Below are 22,784 nucleotides of genomic sequence, written 5' to 3'. Positions count from 1 at the left end.
CACCACGCCCAGCTAAACAGTCAGATGTTAAAATTATATATTCGTCTATTAGATGTCATGTCTAGTTTTTTTTTTTTTTTTTTTTTTTTTTTTTTTGTACAACCAGATTTTCATCCGATGTCAGTTTCGTTCTGCCTGGAGGACTCCTTCAACTTTTTTTTTTTTTTTTTGTGGTAATGGCTGGTGGTAGTGAATTTTCAGCTTTTGTAGAATTTCACATTGACTTTTCCCCTCAGTGCGGTTTTTTTTTTTTTTTAGAGGGAGTCTTGCTCTGTCGCCCAGGCTGGGGTGCAGTGGCACCATCTCGGCTCACTGCAAGCTCCGCCTCCCGGGTTCATGCCATTCTCCTGCCTCAGGTTCCCGATTAGCTGGGACTACAGGCGCCCGCCACCATGTCCAGCTAATTTATATATATATATATATATATATATATATATATATATATATATATATATATATATATATTTTTTTTTTTTTTTGTAAAGACGGGGGTCTCACTGTTTTAGCCAGGATGGGCTCTATCTCTGGACATCGTGATCCACCCGCCTCAGCCTCCCAAAGTGCTGGGATTACAGGCCTGAGCCACGGCGCCCGGCGGCTTTGTGTTTCATAATCTTTTTTTCTGCAGTGTCTAATCTTCTGTTAATTGCATCCAGTGAATTTATTATCTCAGATGTTGTAGTTTTTAATCTCCAAAGTTTGATTCTGACCATTTTTATATGTTTGATACCTCTGCTTAATTCTTTGGACCCATAGAATATTGACATAATAACGGTTTTAAAGTCCTCTGTTTTCTTTTCTTTCTTTCTTTTTTTTTTAAGACGTAGTCTCACTCTTGTTGCCTAGGCTGGAGTGCAATGGCACAATCTCAGCTCACCGCAACATCTACCTCTTGGGATTAAGCAATTCTCCTGCCTCAGCCTCCCGAGGAGCTGGGATTACAGGCATGCACCACCACGCCTGGCTAATTTTTGTATTTTTACTGGAGACGGGGTTTCATCATGTTGATGATGAAAGGTCCCAAACCTGAGACCTTTCACATGTGAAGCGAACATGTAATCACTACACTACAGAAACCCCTCACAGTTCCTGGCACAAGACATATTCCTGAAATGTTACCATCTGCTGTTTTTAACTACTAGGGTTTCCAATATAACAAATTCGACTGCTTTTCAAAATTTGAGTGATAAATACGCCAGGAAACACAATCCCTCAGGCAGACAGGCTGAACCCTCATTTACGGTTCCACGCCTAGCCCCGAAGCCAAGACCCTAGGGACCCCCAATCTGGCTTCGGGATCCCGCATCTCATGCAGGGTTTCCAGGAACTGAGTGCCCGTGTGTGGGATTCTCCCTGCTGACTCTCTGGCTCCCAGAAGCTTCAGGAGCTGGTGGAGCCATGAGTGTCCCGTGCCACACAGGAGTGTGAACGCCGCCCCTGCAGGGCTGCTGACTGCCCCTCGGGGGCCCTTTCCCCGGCGCTGGCCATTAGGGCTCTTGGCTCTTGACAGGCGATCATGCTTCGGGTCCTCCCAGGAACCATAGGACCCTCCCTGCCTGCTCTTCCACCAGGCTGAAGGGCCTGACCCGCACGCTCTTTCCTTGCTAGCCCTTTGGCCTCAGCACCTCGAATCTTCCAGAGGGCATCCTTCACTGCCACTCTCGCTGAGTCTATTCGATTCAATGTAAGCTATATTTATCCACACGTTGAAGTTTTAGCAGGTACTATAGCAAAGGCTGTGTCTCAAGGCATTTCACTCTTTGAAAATATAGAGCATCCAACCCAGGCCAAACTGTGCTTCTTGGCCTGCACTGAATTCGTTTGAAGACCAGGGCATGAAGTTCATAAAACACAAGGGTTTCAGAGCCATCACCACTGAAGGACACAGGAGCAGCCTATTCAGATTTCATGATCACAGGATCTCCACCTCCATCTTGAGATTTTTTTTAAAGGAAGTTTTATTGCATTCTTTCATAATACTTGAAACTTTTTATTTGCATTTTTGATGTTCCTACTCAACAGATCTTGAAGTGAATTGTAACAAAGAGGTAAGGGCAGTTTTCAGAGAAAGGCAGTGTCTGTGAACTTTTCAAGTTTGTCTCACAGCAAAAGATCAACAGGCAGAATTTCCTTTTGCTGAAAGATGTTAATGTGGTTTCTAAGGTGTTCCTTAGACATGAGTGTAAAAACAAATTTGGGGAAGAAAGTGCCATTTTCTCCAGCAGTTGCTTTTCTTACTGCAGTGGTTACCATGTTTCCTTCACATCCAAAGTTCAAATGCTCCCACCCTGGGGAAAGTGACAAAATGTTCGTTGGATGCCAGGCTGCAGTGTCCAGCTTTGTTCTGCTTTGGCTCAGACTGGAGACTGGGACTGGACTGGACTATGTCTCCCTCACTAGAGACTGGGAGCCCAGTTCCAGATGAGGCAGGCATCATGGTAACTTTTGATTAGGCAATTTTGTGACATCTTTTTCTGCTTTCTTCCCTCTGAAATCTCTCTCTCTCCCTCCCCAGTGACCCAGAGGAGAGGATTCACTGTCTTTCTGACTCAGAACATTCTGGGGTCCTTCCTGGACAGAAAAAAAAAAGGCAATTGCCCTTTAACCTACAGGAGCAGAAAGGGCTGCAGGTAACTGGAGACCCACAAACTCACTTCGTGGGCCACTGCACATCTGTGCCTTGTGGGATCCTAGCATACCCAAAACTGTGCGGCTTGAAGCTTCTCTGCCCGCTGAACAGGAAGTATGGGGTTCCTGACTCTTCAAGAAGAGCCACACAGAGAGGTCTTAAGCATGCCTCTGGACCTTGAACACAGGCCAGAAAGAGGCTTGAAGGTGAGGGCAGAGTCAAGAAAGGGTGGAAAGAGAGGCCAACCCACTCTCCCAAGGGTACCTTCTTCAGGACAGTGATTTACTCTAATTTAGTGATCAGGAAAGGAGAGGATTGTGTAGAGCAACGTCCGTACTTGAAAACATGAATTCCTACCTAGATGTGGAGTCCGAGTAAAATATCGGCATCAAAAAGAACTCTGGTTGGCTGGGCAAGGTGTCTCATGCCTGTAGTCCCAGCACTTTGGGAAGCCTAGGCAGGCTGATCCCTTGAGCTCAGGAGTTTGAGACCATTCTGGGCAAAATGGCAAAACCCTGCCTCTGTGGTGGCACACCTTTGGTCCCAGCTACACCAGAGGCTGACGTGGGAGAATCACTTGAGCCCGGATGTTCGAGGCTGCAGTGAGCCGTGATCATGCTACTGCACTCCAGCCTGAGTGACAGAGCAATACCCTATCTTCAAACAATCAACAACCTGTGATTTTTTTTTCTCTGCGTATTGCAAGGATGAGAACAAAGAGCTCCAACTAAGATAGAAACGGTACAGATGCGAAAGGATTTAGGGGGAAACCTCTGGTGTTCTGTCAGGGACCACTGGCCTTGCTTGAAAGAAATTTCATCCAGGCTGTCTGGTTTCCTGCATGTGTCTCAGGCCTGCTGTTGGTGGTCCCAGGGGCTGAGTGCTTAGCCCCTTCTCAGCTTGGGTGCCTCCCCTTTTGCCTTCTCCCAGCAACCTGGTCCACTGCCATGGTTCCTGTGGCCATCTCTCCAGAGCCATGCTGTCACCTCGAAAAGGGGCATCTCTAGATCAATTTTTTTTCACTAAATTGGAATATGAATATATTTATTAGCATGCTCACAAAATAAATGACACATTAATTAGCACTCTCCTCATATGATAAAGAATACATATGACCCACACTGTGGCAGGAAACAGGGGTAAGGGCTATCAGAGCTGGGACTAAGTGTCCACTGAAGAAATCTTGATTCACCGGAGAGAAGTTGTTTCCTTGGATTCCATCATCTCTGCTCTAGCTACCAGCCAGGTCTCCACAACCTTCCCAGAATCCTTCATTCCAGCACCAGTTCATGTTCTTTGCCCTGGCCACTCCTGACTCTTTCAAGACCTGAGTCCACTTTCCCATGTCTCACTCACCCACCTCTGAAATCTTGCAGCACATCTCTTTGGTATGCTGCTGCCTGGCCACCATTGGGGGCACAATTGTCAGGTGGAGGAAGAACATACATACCGAAAGCAAAGAGCAGGGATACATTAGTAAATGGCACTTGGACATAAACTAAACAACCTCACAGAATACATGCTTCCTCCCAAAATGATACATAATCCCCTAGAAGCAAAGGAAACCCTTCGGTCAACATGTATGAATGATTCTGTATGCCAGGCACAGGGGATATATAGTGGGTGGTGTTTACTTCCATTGTGCCCTGCACACAGCAGAAAGTTAGTGACTGGAAGCCTGGAAGCTAGAACCAGGTCTATATCCCCACTCCCATCAGGTTCTCCTGGCCCTTCCTGCCTTTGATGGTGCCACCACTCTACTTCCTCTGTTCTGAACATTTGTTCATTTTTCAATAGAGAGTTTAAGAGGATGCAGGATGGCAGAGAAAGGGTGGGCATGGAGAAGGGGGAAAACAACCCTGTAAAACAGAACAAAAACTATACAAAACCCCAGAAACCAGATTTAGTACTATAATATTTTATAGCAATAGAAAGTAGCTGAGAATAACCTCAGGGGGAGGAGTCAGCAGAGATTGTGCAGCAGAGGCCACGGGTTTAGACGCCACAGGTTTAGACTAGGAGCCTTTCAACGGACTGCTGAATGGACTGGATCAGCTGTGAGCCTTCTTTGATGGTGACAGAACAGGTGATGACAGGACTGGAGACCCCACAGGCCCGCCCCAGGGCCCGCCTGGAGTGCGCAAACATTCCAGGCAGGCCCAGCACATTCTTCTCTTCACACAGCAGTGGGAGTGCAGAATGCTCTCTTGCAGCGTGGTGTCTGCAGCCACCACAATGAACTCACAGATGCCTCTGTTGAGGGTTTTGATGGCCTCATTGGTTCCTGTCTGAAGCTGCTTGTGGTTCCAGTGGCTCCGCACTTCTCAAGGAGCACAGCGTACTTCAGAATCTCTAGATCAGTTTTGACTTGTGCATCTGGAGGGCTTCGTGAGCATTGCAGACAGGTTCACCTTTTGGAGAAACCTTTGGAAGGCAAGAGGAATGAAAAGTGCTTGCTGTTGTTTCCCTGGTGGTCTAGTGGCTAGGATTCGGCGCTTTCACCGCCTGCAGCTCGAGTTCGATTCCTGGTCAGGGAATACATGCTTTGTAAGGTCTCCAAAAGCGGGCGATCTTAGCCCTTGTTACTGGAACTTGCGATGTGCCCCAAAGCCCACTGCAGGAGAGTTTCTGTAGTCTTGGGTGCCAGAAAACTCTGGTGAAGAAGGGGAGTTAATGGTGACCCTCTCCCTGTTTCTCATGCTCCTGATCGAAAATCTTGTTACCTACTCTTTTCTCCCTTGGGCACCCTAGCACTCCTGTTCTTTTCATATCTCCATTTCTCATACAGCAGTACTGACTTCAGAGGTCGACTAAGCAGCTTGCTCAAGGTTATACAGCCATGCATTGATCCAACCTGGGTGGGGCTCCTGTCCTATTTGCTGGGTTGCCATTACTGACAGAATGAGATCTGCATCTGGTAATGGCTTCTTGCTGCTTTCAGAGTAACTCTCCCACAGATAACGACTATAAACTAGAAAAATTTATTTCATATATATATTATATAATTTGAAGGTGCTGGAAGACTGAACAAAAGCAGGCGGACATATGGAAGAATGGCAGGTAGTGAGTATCCCATTTTGCAAACTTTCAGCAGAGGGCTGTTAACTGAAAAACCATACAATTTGTGAGCTTACAGAGGAGAATTTATTTCTTCTAAAGGGTTACAGCATGTAAGGTGGTCATCCTGACAGGCTGGGAATCGCGGGAAGCCCAGAAGCAGGCACTTTGAGGGAGGGAGGGGCAAGACAGGAATTTAAGTTGAATGGGTGGGCCTAAAATACATATTCAACAAGTTATAGGAGGATTTATGAATATTTGTGAAGGGGTCCTGATGCATGCTTATTGAACAAACATTCACGTAATATACAAACTTGTTCACCTTGTTATGGATACTTAGCATTTAAATGCATTACAATTAGGCCCTATACACAAAGGTCTTTTCAGGACACAAAGGCACTCAAATGCACAGATACTGTAAAACTGACAGAACCAGTCCATGGTCGCTGGTCTTCTCATCAGAAGAAAGTTACTGAAATCAGTCTCTTGTCAGTCAAGGCTGTAGTTATGGCTTGTGGAACAGCGGGGTTCGGTATCTGGTGAGGGGTGAGCAGCAAGTGCTTCAACACTCCCTATTCTCAAGGCCAGTGCTTGTTTAGCTGCTAGAGAAAATCCTTGTGGCAGTTAGAACATAGTTTATTCTTTGCATATATGGGGTGTGTGAGTTAATCCTTGCCCGGAATGGTCCTAAGTCCTATTTATAATTTGGTGTCTTATTGCCATAAAGAGTCTGTTCCGTCAGTCTTATGATCTCTGTGATAACATTAATGTTGGTCAGTTTTGTCTAAATTGCAAAAGGGTGGGAATATAATGAGGCTTGTCTGGCCTCCCGTTCCTTCTTGGCCTGGGACTCAGTTTATAAGGTTTGCCTAGGGTCCCGTTGGCCAGTAGGGTGTCCATTTAGTCAGTTGGGGGACTCAGGATTTTATTTTTCGTTTATAGAACAAACTTTGCTCCCCCTTACTTGGATTAGCTAAATTACAATACAAAACCAAACTGTCTTCCTAGATTAAAGGAACAGAGGACAAAGTTTTAGACAACCACAGCAGTTGGAACATCAAGGGGTTAGGTGGAATCTCAGAAAAGAAACAGCACAGTAGGGTGACTACAGCTACCAGCAGTATATTGTACATTTCAAAGGAGCTAAGAAGAGAGAATTTGAAATGTTCCCAACACAAAGAAATGATAAAATGTCTGAGATGATGGATATCCTAAACATCCTGATTTGATCATTACACATCGTAGGCATATATCAAAATATCATATGTACTCCTATAAACATGTATAATTATTCTGTACCAATTTTTGTATTTTTGGTAGAGATGGAGTTTCACTATGTTAGGCAGGCTGGTATCAAACTCCTGACCTCAAGTGATCCACCAGCCTGGGCCTCCCAAACTGCTGGGATTATAGGTGTGAGCCACTGTGCCCAGATGAATAGTTTTATTGTATGCATTGTGGTGATGATTTTTTTGTTTTTTGAGATGGAGTCTTGCTCTGTTGCCCAAGCTGGAGTGCAGTGGTGCGATCTCCACTCACTGCAAGCTCTGCCTCCCGGGTTCACGCCATTCTCCTGCCTCAGCCTCCCAAGTAGCTGGGACTACAGGCGCCCACCACCACGCCTGGCTAATCTTTTTTTTGTATGTTTTTAGTAGAGACAGGGTTTCACCGTGTTAGCCAGGATGGTCTCAATCTCCTGACCTCGTGATCCACCCACCTCGGCCTCCAAAAGTGCTGGGATTACAGGCGTGAGCCACCGCACCCGGCCTGTGGTGATGATTTAATGTGTCCATACTTATTTCCAATCTCAGCAAATTGTGTTCATTACATATGTACAGCTTTTAGTATACCAGGCATACATCAATAAATTGTTTTAAGAAAAAAATAAAGAAAATAAGAAAATATAGTTATTATAATTGTTCTGCGGTGAATAGATGCCAAATAGAGACAAATACAAAATCTAAGAAAACACAGAATATTTGTTGATAGATTCGTACAATAATATTCATGCACAGCAGCCTTCTTCATAATAGTCCAAACTAGAAATAACCAAATTGTCCATCAACAGTGGTGTATTCACATATTGGATAACACTCACCAGTTACACCCAAATAAACTAGATACATATAATAATATGGATACATTTCAAAGATGTGAAAAAAACGCTAACACAAAAAGTGAATTTATATGAATTTCAAGAAGAGAGCAACATAATCTATGGTGATAAACATCAGAATAGTGATAAACCAAGGGGAGAAGGGTGGGATTACCTGGAAAGGGACTCTTGGACCTTTTTAAATATTTTTTATTTTTTGAATTTGAAAAAATTTTTATAGGGATGGGGATCTTGCCATGTTGCCCAGGCTGGTCTCAAATTGCTGGGCTCAGTCAATCTTTCCACTTCAGCCTCCCAAGTGCTGGGATTACAAGCATGAGCTACCGTGCCTGGCATCCACAGACATTTTTGGGATGATGGAAATTTTCTATAACTTGATCTGGGTGATGATTTCATTTGTCAATATTTAATAACCTGTCCTAGTTAATATATTTGAATTTTACACTGTGTGAATTACATTTCAATAGTCTGCTCTTTAGCATAAACATGGGGGGTGGGGGATGGAAGATGGAGACAAGCCAGTGTAGACCATGGCAAGGAGTTTGGATTTTATTTTAAACTCAGTAAAAGCTCACTTTCATCCCCCCTCACCCCCCACAAAATCCCTCCTAATATCTCAAACAGAAGAACAGCTATGACTCACAATTTCATTAGTGGAAACTGCAGGCAAGCCTCTTTGAGAAGAGGCATTTCACCTTGTGTGGTGGTTCAATGCATGCCCAGATGTAAGGCACCTCCAAAGTTCCCAATGACCTAGTGCAGGTGTGTTTTTGATGGCCCTGGCTGTATCATGCTGGCAATTCAGTGGTAAGCCTTGTTCTCTAGTCACAAATAAGGGTTGCAGCCATTGTAAGGAACAGTAAAAACCAGTTATGACCACACCACTGCATTAGTGGAAGCTACCAACATGGCGGTTTGAAAGGTGACATTTTACCCTTTGGGATATTTTCTGCTCAATGGTGAGACATAGGGCATGTCCTGGGCCCTAGGTATGTGCAATGTGGGGTCTCCTTTTTGCCTGACAGGAGTCAGTGGTAAACCCTACTAAAGGACTCAGTCAGTGCACGGATTGAAAACAAACCAAAAGACAGCTCAGTTTCTCCCCAAAAAGATGCCACACACTGCCATTTTGGATTGGAATCAAGGTTCTGCATTCACAACACAAAGTGCCAATCACTATACCACCGTGGCATGCCATAAACTTGCTGGCAGATGCTGAGTTTTCTTTAACACTTTCGATGTAAACATATTCACAATATTTTGTTCTTGCATCACTTGCTTTCTGACAGGTTGAGTGGTAAGAAGCACAAATTCCTATATTCTGTTCTTTCCAAAAATGTTTAGTTTGATCAGAATGCAGGATGTTGAACAAGATAACTAGCCTATCCACTTCAAAAACTTAGCAACAAGGACAAAGAAATGGAGGGACAGCTCTAGGTAAGTAAAGTGCAATTGAGGAACTTTACTTGGAACCTAGGCAAGCAACATCAGTACCACAAGTCACTTCTCTCTCTCTCAAATAAATATTATATATACACATACATATATATATTACATGTGTATATAATATATAATACACACACACACACACACACACACACAGAGTTTAATTAAGCAAAGAAGAATTCCTGAATCAGAAATTTCCAGAACCAGAATAGGTTCAGAGAGGTTCCAGTGCTACCATGTGGTAGAAGAAGATTTATGGATGGAAAAGGGAAAGTGACTTACAGAAAACAGAAGTGAGGTACAAAAATAATCGGATTGGCTACAGCTCTGAGTTTGTCTTATTTGAACCCAGTTTGAACAGTTGGCCACCTTTGATTGGCTAAAACTCAGTCATTGGCTCAAGAGTAGGTTACAGGTTGTTTACACATCGAGTTAGGTTACAGTTCACTACATATGGAGAAACCTTTAATATATGGATAGAGGCAGCTTCCAGCTAATGATATGTATATATCTTTAAGATATTGATGCATATAAATATTATTAAATTAAAACATTTATGCATATGTAATGTGCATGTGTGTTATATATACACATACATACACACATGCACACACTATGTATGCATAAATATCTATATACATGCACATATATGTGTATAGATGTGACATTTTCTAAACAGAAAATTTTTATCTGGACTATATATTAGATAATGTTATTGAATAAATGTTAATATCCTTAGGTTTGATAATTGAATTGTATTATAATTATATAGGATAATGTCCTTAATCTCATGAAATACATGCTGAACTATTTAGGGATGAAGTGGAGTTTTTTTGGTCTGCATTTACTATGAAATATGAATGTGTGTGTAGGTGTGTGTAGACAGAGAAAAAAGGTAAAGGAATGTTAACTGTTGAACTTGGGTGAATGGTGTAGAGGAGTTCTTTTTTTTTCAATTTTTCTATAGGTTTGAAGTCTTTCAAAGTAAATGATTGTGGAGGAAAATGTAAAACATGGGAGACTGTGAAGAGCTGGCTGAATTCTAGGCTAAAATTTGGCTCTCTCTGGGTCTTGGCCTTGCCGGAGGGGGTGACGGATCTCAGTACCTCTCACTGCTAGAAGAAAGTGTAGGTTGCCAGCCTGGTGTACAAACCTATCTAAAGGATCCCCTCCTGTTACCCAGGATATGGGTGAAGTGTCTTCTTAGTCCTTCTTACATGAATCAGCCTTCTAGCCTGGAAGTCTGGTAGGTAAGTTTGAGGCTAATTTGTATGTTTCAAAGCTTCTGAAGAAGATGTCCCACTTTTACATTGGATTGCAAAAGACAAGTCAGTGTGTGTGAAGAATTTATTTTCAGAAAAAGAAATCCAAAGGAGAGTAAGTTAGTTGAAATCTAACAGTCCCATTGGAGTATACTGTTTTTACTTGTTGGTCCTTCAGAAATCTCAAGGGTGGGAATTTGGCCTATACAGGAAGATTTTTCCAGATGATGAGTAAACAGCAAACTTTCAAGATCATTCTTTGGCAGAGATTCTACTGAGGCAGGAAAGTGGCAGGACTTATTTTGCGGTTGTGGCCCAGTTGATCAGAGCAGGATCTGGTCCAAACAGGGTGCAGTAAAGAAGCTGACCAAAACCAGCAGATGGAGACAAAAGCTACCTCTAGTTGCCCTCACTGCTCATTAGCATAAAGACACTCCTACCAGTGCCATGACAGTTTATAAATGCCATGTCAACTTGCCATGGCAATGGCCAGGAAGTTACCTTATATGCTTCTGGAAACTCCTCATCCCTTTTCCAAAAAGTTCTGAATAACCCACTTCCTAATTAGCATCTAATTAAAAGCATCTAAATAAATACAGCTAGCTAGCAACCCACACACTGCCCATGGGTTAACCTTCCTCCACGAGAAGCAGTACCAGTTTAACAAAAGTTGCTTTCTTTCACCGCTGGGTTGCCCTTGAATTCTTACCTGGGCAAAGCCAAGAACTCTCCTGGGCTAAGCCCCAATTTTGGGGTTGTCCTTCCTTGCATCATCTGGTGACCACAAAGACAAAACAAGATGGGACAGGACATGATATAACACAGGACAGGACAGGACAGAGTCAAGAACTGTTTAAGGCAGGACACTTGGTAGTGAAAAGTCCCTTACTGTGCTGACCCTGAGATGCCAAAGTCACATTGTTCAGTGGCCCCTAACTTGGCCTTTGGGGTTCACCATTGCCTCCCCTGCAGTTTCAGCATTCAGTGTGGGGACCATCACTGGCTGATACTTGGGTACTCTGGGTTTTTGGCATTTCGTTGTGGTGAGAGTTCCACTGTCACTGTTGGCCTCTCCCTGGATGCTCTGGGGTTTTCAGCATTGACATTCCCTATAGGATTGTGGATTAGAGCTCCTTCCCTGGAGGAGTGTGGATGTCATCTTCTCCGCCCTTAAATTAAAAGATTACAATTTTCCATAACAGCCAGTTGTGGGCCCCCTCCTACGTGACTTTGCTCAAGCCCATATTGAACTCTTGGTCACAGGGACCAGGGGTTCCTGGACCCCTGGCCCAAGTGACAACTACCCATAGTGGCAGACAAGCAGCAGCCACCCAAACATTTTGCCCAAATATTTTTCCTCAGTCTCCGTGGCTGCTGGGTAGATTTTCTGGCACCTCAGTCTGGACAACGCTGTTCATGCTTTCCCTTCCTCCCTTCCATGATCACCTTGTTTCTTTTAACCCCTCTTTGCCCAAACTAAAATGCTTTCTTCACTCTGTGGAATTCAGACCCATCATTTTACTTCGCATTCATATTTCATAATCTACTTTCATAACACTTTGCTAACTGTACTTACATCTTCTCTGCAGGAGGTGGGAATTTGAAAGGGAAAGTAACTGAGCTTTTGCTAGACTTAGAAAAACTTCTGGGTGTAGTAGAGATCCTTGTTAGACATGGGGACAAAGGCGAGCATCCCAAAGGACTCCCCACTAGGGTGTCTTTAAGGCAATTGGAGCAAATTCAAATGAGATGGCTCAAAGAAAAAGAAACAATTTTCTTGGGAGAACAAGAAATTTGGCCTGAAACTTGTTCTTTACATTATCATACTATTTTACAATTGGACTTATTCAGTAAAAAGGAAGGAAAATGGGGAGAAGTTCCTTACGTACAGGCTTCTATGGCCCCCTACCAGGATTCTGACTTAAGAGTCAACTGCAGGATGTGTCTGGCTCATGTTACTTCCAGGCACCAAGAAACCGCGTGGGATATCCTCGATGCTCCCTTCCTAGCGGCACCCCCTGGAGGGCCCATGCCCTCTCCAGGGTCTTCTCAGTCCCCCAGTTCTGCGAGGGGTCCTGCCAGTTCTCCAGTGTGGGATTTCACCCCAATGTCATCAGAAAACCCTCCCTTTTATTTAGCTAGCTCCAGCCTGTATCCCCCACTGCCCAAGGAAGTAAGCCCAACCAGAACCACCAGGAGTGGAGCTCTCTATCAGCCCCTCAAATTGAATCTGTGTCCATTGCTGGAGTTAGCTGGCAGAGATAGGGGAACAATCAGAGTATATGTGCCATTTCCTTTGTCCAAATTGGCTTTCTTCAAGGAGAAGTATGGCTGGTTTTTGAAGGATCCAGGGAAGTTTATAGAGGAGTTTGTCAGGTTGATGATGTCCTTTGATTTAACTTGGCACAACTTGCAAATATTATTGTCCTCTTCCTGTATTAAGGAGAAGAGAGGGATTCTGGGTACTGGCCTGTGAATATGCAGTTAGAGTAGCTGCTCATATCCAAGGCCATACCATTTATGTAGGGGGAGATGCAGTTCCACATAGAGACCCTCAGTGGGATTACCAGAAGGGTTCCCAAGAACTTGAACATAGAAATCACATGCTAACTTGTTTAATAGAAAGTATGAAAAGGTGTGTGATTAAGCCAGTTAATTGTGACAAGGATAGAGAAGTAACTCAGTGGAAGGATGAAAATCCCATTCTGTTTTAGGGCTGCTTGGTTGGGGCACTCAGGAAATATACTAATGTAGACCCAGACAACCCGGAAGGGCGGGCTCTTCTGGGCATGCGTTGTATTACTCAATCTATCCTTGACATTAGGAGGAAGTTACAAAAGGCAGGAATGGGACCCCAAACTCCATGAGCCAACTCTTAAACATGGCCTTTGGAGTTTACAACAATAGGGACAAGGCAGAGGAAAAGGATAAAACCAAAAGAAATAGCCAAAAAATGCAATTGTTTGCAGCTGCTTTCAGCCTCCTACTGCTTTTGAGCTGCCCATCCTGAGAAAGTGTTGCAAGAGTGGCTTTGGGATGCCCAGACAAAAGCCAGCTCATCATCCCCTAGGCTGGAATCAGTGTGCCTTCTGTAAGCAAGAGGGCCACTGGAGGAAAGACTGCCTCAGTCTCCAAACGGAGTCTGAGCTTCTCGGACCCCTAATGGCTAAGAGAACAGAGGACTGACAGGGCCCAAGATTCCCTACAGCTTCCACCAGACACCTTGCCATCTCTACAGAAGAGCCTCAGGTAATTCTTGACATGGCGGGTAAAAATATTGAGTTATTGGATATGCGAGCCGCCTTCTCAGTTCTGATCTAGTCCTTGGGGCCACTGTCTTCCCACTCCTGTACTGTAATGAGGATTGATGACCAGCTAAAAGCTAGGAGATTCACCCATTCCTTTAGTTGCACTGTGGGGAACCATGTTTTTCCACAGATTTTTGCTTAGTCTTGAGTGCCTTATTCCTTTACTGGGAAGAGACTTACTTTCCCAATAACAGGCTGCAGTTCAATTTGGAGCACCTCAAGAGAAGGCCACAGGCTGGGAAGGGACACTTCTCCTAGCTCTAAGTTCATGTCTTAACACAGATAAAGAAAAGACGTTCCTTCCATCAAATATTACTTCTCAAGTAGACCCGTCTGCTTGTGACATGGTAGTTCCTGGAAGAACTGCAAATGTTCTCCCAGTCCAGGTTATTTTGAAACCCAGTGTTAATTATCTATGGGAAAAAAAATATCCTTTTAAGTGTGGTGGCCCATGCTTTTAATCTCTGCACTTTCGGAGGCCAAGGTGGGCATATCACTGGAAGCTAGGAGTTTGAGACCAGCCTGGCCAACAAGGCAAAACCCCATCTCTACTAAAAACACAAAAATTAGCTAGGTATGGTGGTGTACATCTGCAATCCCAACTACTCAGAAGGCTGTGGCAGGAGAATTGCTTGAACCCGGAAGGCAGAGGTAGCAGTGAGCCTTGCACCGCCGCACTCCAGCCTGGATAACAGAGCAAGACTCTGACTCAAAAAAAAAAAAAAAAAGAAAAATCCAGTATCCTTTTAGACCTTTGGCTCCAAGGGGCATCCATCCCCTGATAATGAAGTATGGATTATTACAATCCTATCAGTCCCAACGTAACACCCCCATTTTTCCTGTTAATAAGCCAAACGGGGAATATAGATTTGTTCAGGATCTTAGGGCAGTTAATGAGGCATTAGTTCCAGTCACCCAATAGTTCCTAATCTTTATACAATAATAACTCAAGTCCCTGAAGATGCTTATTGGTTCATAGTATTAAATTTAAAAGATGTTTTCTTTCACACACCTTTACACCTGGACACCCAATACATTTTTGCATTTGAATGGACTAATCCAGACACTCATGCTGCATCTCAGCTTACCTGGACTGTCCTGTCCCCAAGGTTTTAGGACAATCCCCATCTGTTTGGCAATGCATTGGCAAAAGAGGTATGGGAACTACAGTTAATTAATGGATCCCTCTTACCATATGTGTATCACCTATTAATTTCCAGCCCTACTAGGGGAAGACTCTGAGAAACATACAACTTCAAGTCCTTAATTTTGAAACAAAACAAGGGTATCAGGTATCCCCCCGAAAGGCCCAAATTTCTGTCCAAAGGGTCACGTATTTGGGACACATTCTCACTCCTGGGACCAGGATCTTGACCCAGGGATGAAAAGAGACCATCCTGGCACTCCAGGTCCCTCAAATTCCTTTTTGAGAATAGCTGGATTCTGCTGGGTTTGGATTCCCAGGTTTGGGCTCATAGCAAAACCACTCTACGAACCTCCAAAAGTGAGTGGTCATAAGCCTTTGAATTGCAATGGAGCCTGTCAAAAGGCATTCTTAGCCTTAAAAGAAAACCCAGGGACAGCCCCTGCTTCAAGACTCTCAAACTTAGAAAAACCTTTCATCCTCTATGTGGATGAATAACAAGGGACAGCTTTGGATGTTCTAACTCGAAGGGTCAGGAATTGCCTCAGACCAGTGGCTTATTTCTCTAAACAGCTAGACCAGGTGGCAGCTGAGTGACCAGGAAGCTTGAGATCTGTGGCTACCATCACTCTATTGGTAGAAGAAGCCAGTAAGTTTACCTTGGGACAACAAGTAGATGCCATACCACCCCCGCCCCCCACCACCCCATGAAGTACAGTACAGAAGGTCCTAGAGGCAAAAGTATACCAATGGCTAATAGGGGGCCAGTTACTTAAATATCAGGCTCTTCTGCTTGACACCCCAGATGTTACCCTTAAAGTATGCTGATTTTTAAACCCTGCTACTCTGTTGCTGGACCTCACATCCCAAGAAACAGATCCCCAACTCATTGACTCCTGGGTGGAAACCATGGAAGAGATCTACTCTAGAAGGTCCAACCTTGAAGACAAGCCCTTGTCTAACCCCAGTGTTGAGTGGTTTAGAGATGGAAATAGCTTTATTCATGAGGGAGTAAGAAAGGAAGGTTAGCTAACAAGAAGTCATTGAGGCCAAGGGTTTACCTTCTCAGAATTCTGCTCAAAAAGCAGAATTAGCTGCTCTAATCAGGACCTTCCAACTGTGAAAAGACTTAAGCCTGGGTTGGATGGCTCACGACTGTAATCCCAGCACTTTGGCAGGCCGAGGTGGGTGGATCATCTGATGTTGGGAGTTCGAGACCAGCCTGGCCAACATGGCGAAACCCTGTCTCTACTAAAAATACAAAAATTATCCGGGTATGGTGGTGGGCACCTGTAATCCCAGCTACACGGGAGGGTGGGGCACGAGAATCACTTGAAACTGAGAGGCAGAGTTTGCAGTGAGCCAAGATCATGCCACTGCACTCCAGCCTGGGCGACAGAGGAAGACTCCGTTTCAAAAAAGAAAAAAAAAACCCTCAAGAGTCAATGTGTTTACTGACTCTAAGTATGGTTTCCGGGTGCTTCAGGCTCATGCAACCATAGGGAAGGAAAGGGGACTATCAAGAGCCAAGGGATCCCCCATACAACTTTACTCAGATCTTGGAACTTTTAGATGCCGTCCAATTCCCAAAGAAATAACAAGTATTCACTGCAGGGGACACCAGAAGGAAGACACTGTTCTTATTAGAGGAAATTCCCTTTTGGAAAGAGCAGCTAAGGCCACAGCTAAGGAAACCCTGGTATTTCAGGCTGCTGCGCTACTACCAGGTCATCCATGTCAGTGGAACCATAGTATACACCCAAGGAAATTAAAGGGACTGAGTAAAAGGCTTCCAGTAAGACCCCTCTAGATGCTTGCTAGAAAAGAACAAACTCTATTCCTGAGGCTGACAAATGGGAAGTAATTTAACATTTTCATGATTCCTCACATTTGGGACAGGATTTTCCATTCAAATTAGTTTCCTAAATATTCTTGGGGAAGGGACTGTTCTAAACTATAAAAAGATTTACCAATCAGGAAGCCACCCCATACCCCGCTCCCTGCTTAAACTTGTACAACACCACGGAACATACCATAGTGAAGACTGGCAGACAGATTTAACCCAGATGCCACCTTACAGGGGACTACAATATTTGCAAGTATTTATAAACACTTTCACCAGGTGGATAGAAGCTTTCCCCACAAGGACAAGAAAAGTATTGGAAGTGTCTAAATTCTTACTTAAAGAAATCATCCCAAGATTTGGATTACCAAAATGTTTGCAAGGGGATAACTGACCTCCCTTCCCAGCTAAGGTGACCCAGTGAGGTAATGCCTCAGCCTTAAGCATTACCTATCTTCACTCTTCATGGAGATCTCAATCTTCAGATAACATAGAAAGCCAGTTGTGACATTAGCAAAACTCTTTCAGGAGACCTCAGAGGCCTGAGTTTTCCTCCTACTCATAGCCCTTTTGCATATGAGGATGGCTCCAAAGAGAACTTTAAAGCTTAGTCCATTTGAAATGACTTATGGAAGGCCTCCGTCTTTTTTTTAACTTGATCAACACCACAGTTTAATTGTAAACGTGTCATATGTGTCAATGATCAAATTGACAACACTTTATAGATTTCATTGTATAATATTAACATCCTAACAGAAAAAGATCCACTGTACTCATTTACAGTTTGGTATTTTAAAATCCTTAAATACAAATTGTATTTGAAACACTGAACACAAAAAAGAAACTTGAATGCCAGAGAAAACTGAAAACATCAAGTAAAAGAAACCAATATTCTGCCCCCCCAAAAAAATATAAAATCATCTGATTACATAATTTAAAAAAGAAATAAAGGAAATCAGATGATCTTATTTTTTAATGATATAAAGTTGCGTTTCTTCAAACCCATTTTAGATGTGAAATGTACCATTTTAAGTTATATGTCTTTTTTGGTATGTGTTCTTCTTTTCCTCTTGGTTTCTAAAGAATGTTTTCCAGGATTTAAATTACATTAAAGAAGTCGGGAAAGAAAGGAAGGAATGTGGTAAAAAGCCAAATTAAATTAACTATTTGGAAAATAATTGGATATAAATTTTTCATGAATCTTCTTTGGCAAGTAACAAAGTCTGCACTTTAAATTTACCTTTTTGTTGAAATGGATCAATACTTGTAAGATTTAAGACATTACATGAGTTAATGTATAAGTAAAAGGAAGCCAAATTCACAAAGCAAAGTGCAAACATGAACTTTTCACATTTTTGCTAAAAGCTCTAAAAATGCACTCTCCCTCCTTGAGAGTATGAGAGGTCTTTAGCTCAGAATCAGATGATTACTCTTGCCTCATTCAACACAAGAAACCAGAGGGGACCCCATGGTTTTTCAGTACTTTCCCTAAAATTCATGATTACCATTAGGTTCCATTTCTTCCTCCTTTATCTCTCAAAAGAAATATAGCAGCAAATCACTCCCATATTTTAAGCTTTAAATTCACCAACAACTGGGCTCACTGCCAACAAATACAAATGTTCAATTCTTTATTAGTGTACGTGTCATTACAGTTGGTTTAGATGGTTAATATAGGAATACAGAAAATAACTACAGTTCATTCAAACAAAGGAAATTAAAATGAGATTAAAGAGCCCTGATTAAAAAAAAATACAACTTTCAGCTGAAAAACTGTAAAAGTTACATACACACATACCTAATGGCACTAGGAATGTACAATATCAATTATTGGAAAAATAAGTGAGTGACTCACAGTCATAAGAAATAATTTAATATTAGTATTTTTCTTTTATAGACAAACATAACATACACATGGTTTCTACCTTTTATAAGGCAAAGTAGAAAACTAACCGTTACTGCATTTACCTCAAACACAGCACTGACTGTGCCACAGATAACATGGTCCAAAATATTCAATTCTATACATAGGCCATGGTAGTGGATGTGTGGTTAAGTTTTAGGAAAGGCATATATTTCCAGAAGTAAGTATGTTAAATACACAAATGTCTATAAATAACAAAAAGTTATCAGCAAAAACGCTTAGGTTATAACATTCCCAAACGTTCTAACATTTTAAGTGTTTTAGATATGAGTTGTCTGACCAGTTCATTTGGTTACAGTTTTAAACTAGCAAACCATTGCCCTATAAGAGGAGCTAAACTAAACTGTAACACTACACAAACTTCCCAAGGAAGGTAACTTGAAAAGTCTAAAAAGTGATTCCAATTATTCTAATTAACATTTGAGATGCTAAAAGAATCAATGACTCAAGAAACACTTTGAAGTAATTCCATTTTTCTTTATCATTTTCTAAAAATGTATTCACATAAATTTAAGATCCAGATTGCTTAAGAGTATGTCTTCAAAGTAGGTTAATCACTAAAGCATTCTGATCCAAAGACATAGTCTTAATGCTTCTAATATGTAATTCTAACCTAAAATCACAATCCTTGGTTTGAAAACATCAAAGGTAAGAAACAAAAAAATAAATCAGGATGAAAATGTGCAGCAGCTATAGCTACAAGAGTGGAAAATAAATTCTACTTTTTCCATAAAGACTCTGTGAAAATATAAAGCCCAAAGTCAGTGACAACAGAAGTCCACATATAAATGGTGTTTAAAAATAGAAAGTTTTCTAAAGCTTCTCATGAGATGTCAACGAATAGTCATAATCTGAATTAAGACCTTATAAATCAAGGTTAAGTTATACATAACCATGATGATTTACATACCTTCTACAATGTCCAACTGACATACATAATTTAGATACCCATAGGAATTCATAATGCCCTATCATATCATCTCCCAATACTGGATGTTTACTGTTTTATAGTTTTACTACTTTAAGTACCAAGAAGCATTTTCAGAGGAAGAGTTCCATCTCTTCCCTTGATCCCCCAAAGTATAGGTAACAAAATATAAAGTTAAACAAGATTGATGTTTGATAAACTAACATATAAAATTATCATTGCAATTTTCACAGTGACTGCTTTTAAACATAACAGTCATCATAAAGCCTATAAAGTATATACTTAGTTTTATAAAAGAAATGCAGATTGTCTCAAGGTAAAAAATACAGTGCTGTATGCTAAAAAGCACTTTGTTGCAATAAGATGTGCAATAAGGAGCAAAACTTCAGAAAACATGAATATGTTCCCCAAACTTTTAATATTAGTAAAGCAAGAATTGCTCCGCAGCAGCAGGATGCTTTTTAGTGGCTGACACTATAAAGCTAACGTTAAGAAAGAAAAAAGGCAGAAAGTGTGAGCAGCAAATGGTGTAACCAAATTATTGCAAATGGAGATTAGCAATAAGTGAGGAAGGTGACCATCCACTCCGTTCTGATAAGACACCATCTTTAAATATTAAATTTTTTGCAGGAAGTGGAACACCCATGTCAGCATACGATGACTGTGAAAGCAAACTTGAAAAACTGGGCTCTGTGTGAATATCCAATGTTGAAGCACCTTCCTGGAATGAGTGAACAAAGTTAAGGACTTGCAGAGAGAGTTTTCTACTGGAATGTAAGAGGTTTTGAAGGCTCTCTTTTCTGCAAAGGCCATGTGTAGCAATTTTCCTATAAACTTTCCGGTTTAATTCGGAACTGAACAGCGGAATTCCAAAGCACAGCTCGAGAGGAACCCAATCTGCTTCTGTTGTGGCACCAGAGGTTTGCTTTGTTGCTGAATCTATAGTTGCTTCTTCAATGACCATTTCAAATGACTCTGTACTCCCATTTAACATCTGAGCCAGAAGCCAAATCAGGTTTTCCTCTCTCATCAGAAGCATCACTGAGTTTTCTATTTGCAAGTTGGCTGGAAGCATTCAACATGGTGACATATCCGCAGAGATGTTGTAAGTCCACTCTGTTCCTTAGTATCTGCAATGCTTTATGAACACCCATATTGACACGAGTCTCCTTGTAGTTCTGTTTCATCAAATGGAAATGGGACATGGACAGTTTCTCCTATCCCATGCAGACCATGCCCCTGAATTAAAACTGCAGAATGTGTTAAAGCATCATTCAACATCGTGAGCACATTTGAGGTAGGAACTACTCCAGGATCGTGACCCCAAGATGTTATTAGCAATCGATCGTAACTCTGAAATATATCTGGCAGTTTTCGAGGTCTTGTACCTTTGGATAATAAAAGGGATGGTGGTCCTTGTCCAGTGATATGATAAACATAAATGTACTGTTTAAACCAGACAGAGCTGACTTCTGGGATAGCTGGTCCAATATGCTGAGGGGTGCAGCTGCTGACAGGCCGGATTTCATTGGTGAGGGGAGCCATGGAAACAAGCAGTGTGTAATTTTCTGCTGCCAGTTGCAGGGTCCAGACCAAGAAGGCTTTCACAGCATAAGAGATCCAGAGGAAAACCATAATTGGGTTGGTCTGGCTGTGCAGTTTGCACAACTAGATCTTTGTTATGATGCAGAAACAGTATTGTGTTTCTCAGAGTAAGCGCATGATCAAAATATCTCTGTGCTTCTCTTTCACCAGTGCTCTGAACTGGTGAAAGATTTCCCATCATTAAGAAGGCAGTAAGAGTGGAGTCAAACAGGAATGCGATGTGCTTCGTGTGTCCTGCAGACAGACTCAGGCTTCTTACACTGGCTGTGTCAGCTGGATCTTCTTGACTATTTGTATCAGTGTCAGTTGCCGATGAAGCTTCTTGTACAGGCCTCCTACTTTCCCCTCCACCCCATGACAAGAGCATCTTCTATGGATCTAAGGTACTCTTTAATCTGTTTATGGATGGAACATTCTTCCATGATGAATGAAGTTGATCCAAATTTATTACTTGTCCCTTCTTATGGGCAAAGCCCAATCAGCAATACATTGAAACAGCATTCTTAACCAGGGATAAGTCAATCTCAAGGACATTTGCAAGCTCTGCCACATTTGTGTGCTCATCTACTGAAACAAATATCTTATAGAGTAGAGTTTCAAAATAATCAAAATAAGCACTCGATTCATTACAAAACCTTCAAGGGGTGCAACTGCTATATAACTGTCATCAGACATTGGTACATCCAGATAAATAAATCCTTTTTTATACAAACTATGTACTACATTGTAATCTAGTGATCCAGAGAGTTGAGGGCCTGAATCAACGATCTTATCAGTAGCACATTTCTCAGGCCAAGTGCATATCTTGATGTCATCTTCTGTGATATATCCAGCCTGCACCACCCACCATGCCTCTATGGCAATTTCCACTGGCTTTATTGGTAGAAGATCACCGGCTGTTTTCCTTCTGAAGAATTTTTTTGATGATCTACACTGAATCATAAGATCAATATACTGGTTTCTTCCTATGCCAAGAAGCCTTAGACAGTCAGCAGCAGTAAAATTGTGCCCACTGTTCATAATATTCTCCATAATCCCAGTGTAATATGAAAATGGTGTTATGCTCAAGCCCTTCACCATAATATCCAATAGACGGTAAGGGTACAGCATGAGATGATCTCGGCTGTAGTTTAGCAGTTCCTCATAGTATCCGCGTTCATCTTTCTTGACATGTTTAAGTTATTTCTGTATCGTAACTGATTGCAGATACTGTACAGGACAACCTGATTTTCATATTCTCTCTGTGAATTTCCAAGACGGCTGGGATTTTCTTTCTCCTCTGCCACTCTGAACAGCAAGACCAATACTTCCTGTATTTCCTCCTCCTCAGCCTACTTGATGTGAAGACAAAGATGAAGACCTCCATGATGAGCTATCTCCACTTAATGACTGCCTCACGTTGGCCGGCAACTTGTTCCAGGGGTAGTTGTGCCGGATGTGGAACTCCACGTCTATGTTCACCATGCCGCCGCCAGGGCCTGCGGCGGGGGCCGCGACCGCGACCCACCCGCAGCCCGGCGCC

General features: G+C 42.3%; 2 pseudogenes across 1 annotated transcript in view; one reads left to right on the top strand and one right to left on the bottom strand.

Annotated features, from left to right (window-relative positions):
- PDE4DIPP4 (PDE4DIP pseudogene 4) overlaps positions 1-20,462 on the top strand; it is a 66,476-nt pseudogene extending 46,014 nt beyond the window's left edge. Inside the window, exon 3 of the transcript NR_135813.1 lies at positions 20,288-20,462. The product of NR_135813.1 is annotated as a PDE4DIP pseudogene 4 (transcript). The remainder of the gene's footprint in view (positions 1-20,287) is intronic.
- Positions 17,457-22,784, bottom strand: FAM91A4P (family with sequence similarity 91 member A4, pseudogene; annotated as a pseudogene).

Source organism: Homo sapiens, chromosome 1 (assembly GCF_000001405.40).
Source record: "Homo sapiens chromosome 1, GRCh38.p14 Primary Assembly".
NCBI classification, from domain to species: Eukaryota; Metazoa; Chordata; class Mammalia; order Primates; family Hominidae; genus Homo; species Homo sapiens.
The sequence above is the reverse complement of the archived record's forward strand: the minus strand, read 5'-3'. Positions and strand labels throughout refer to the sequence as shown.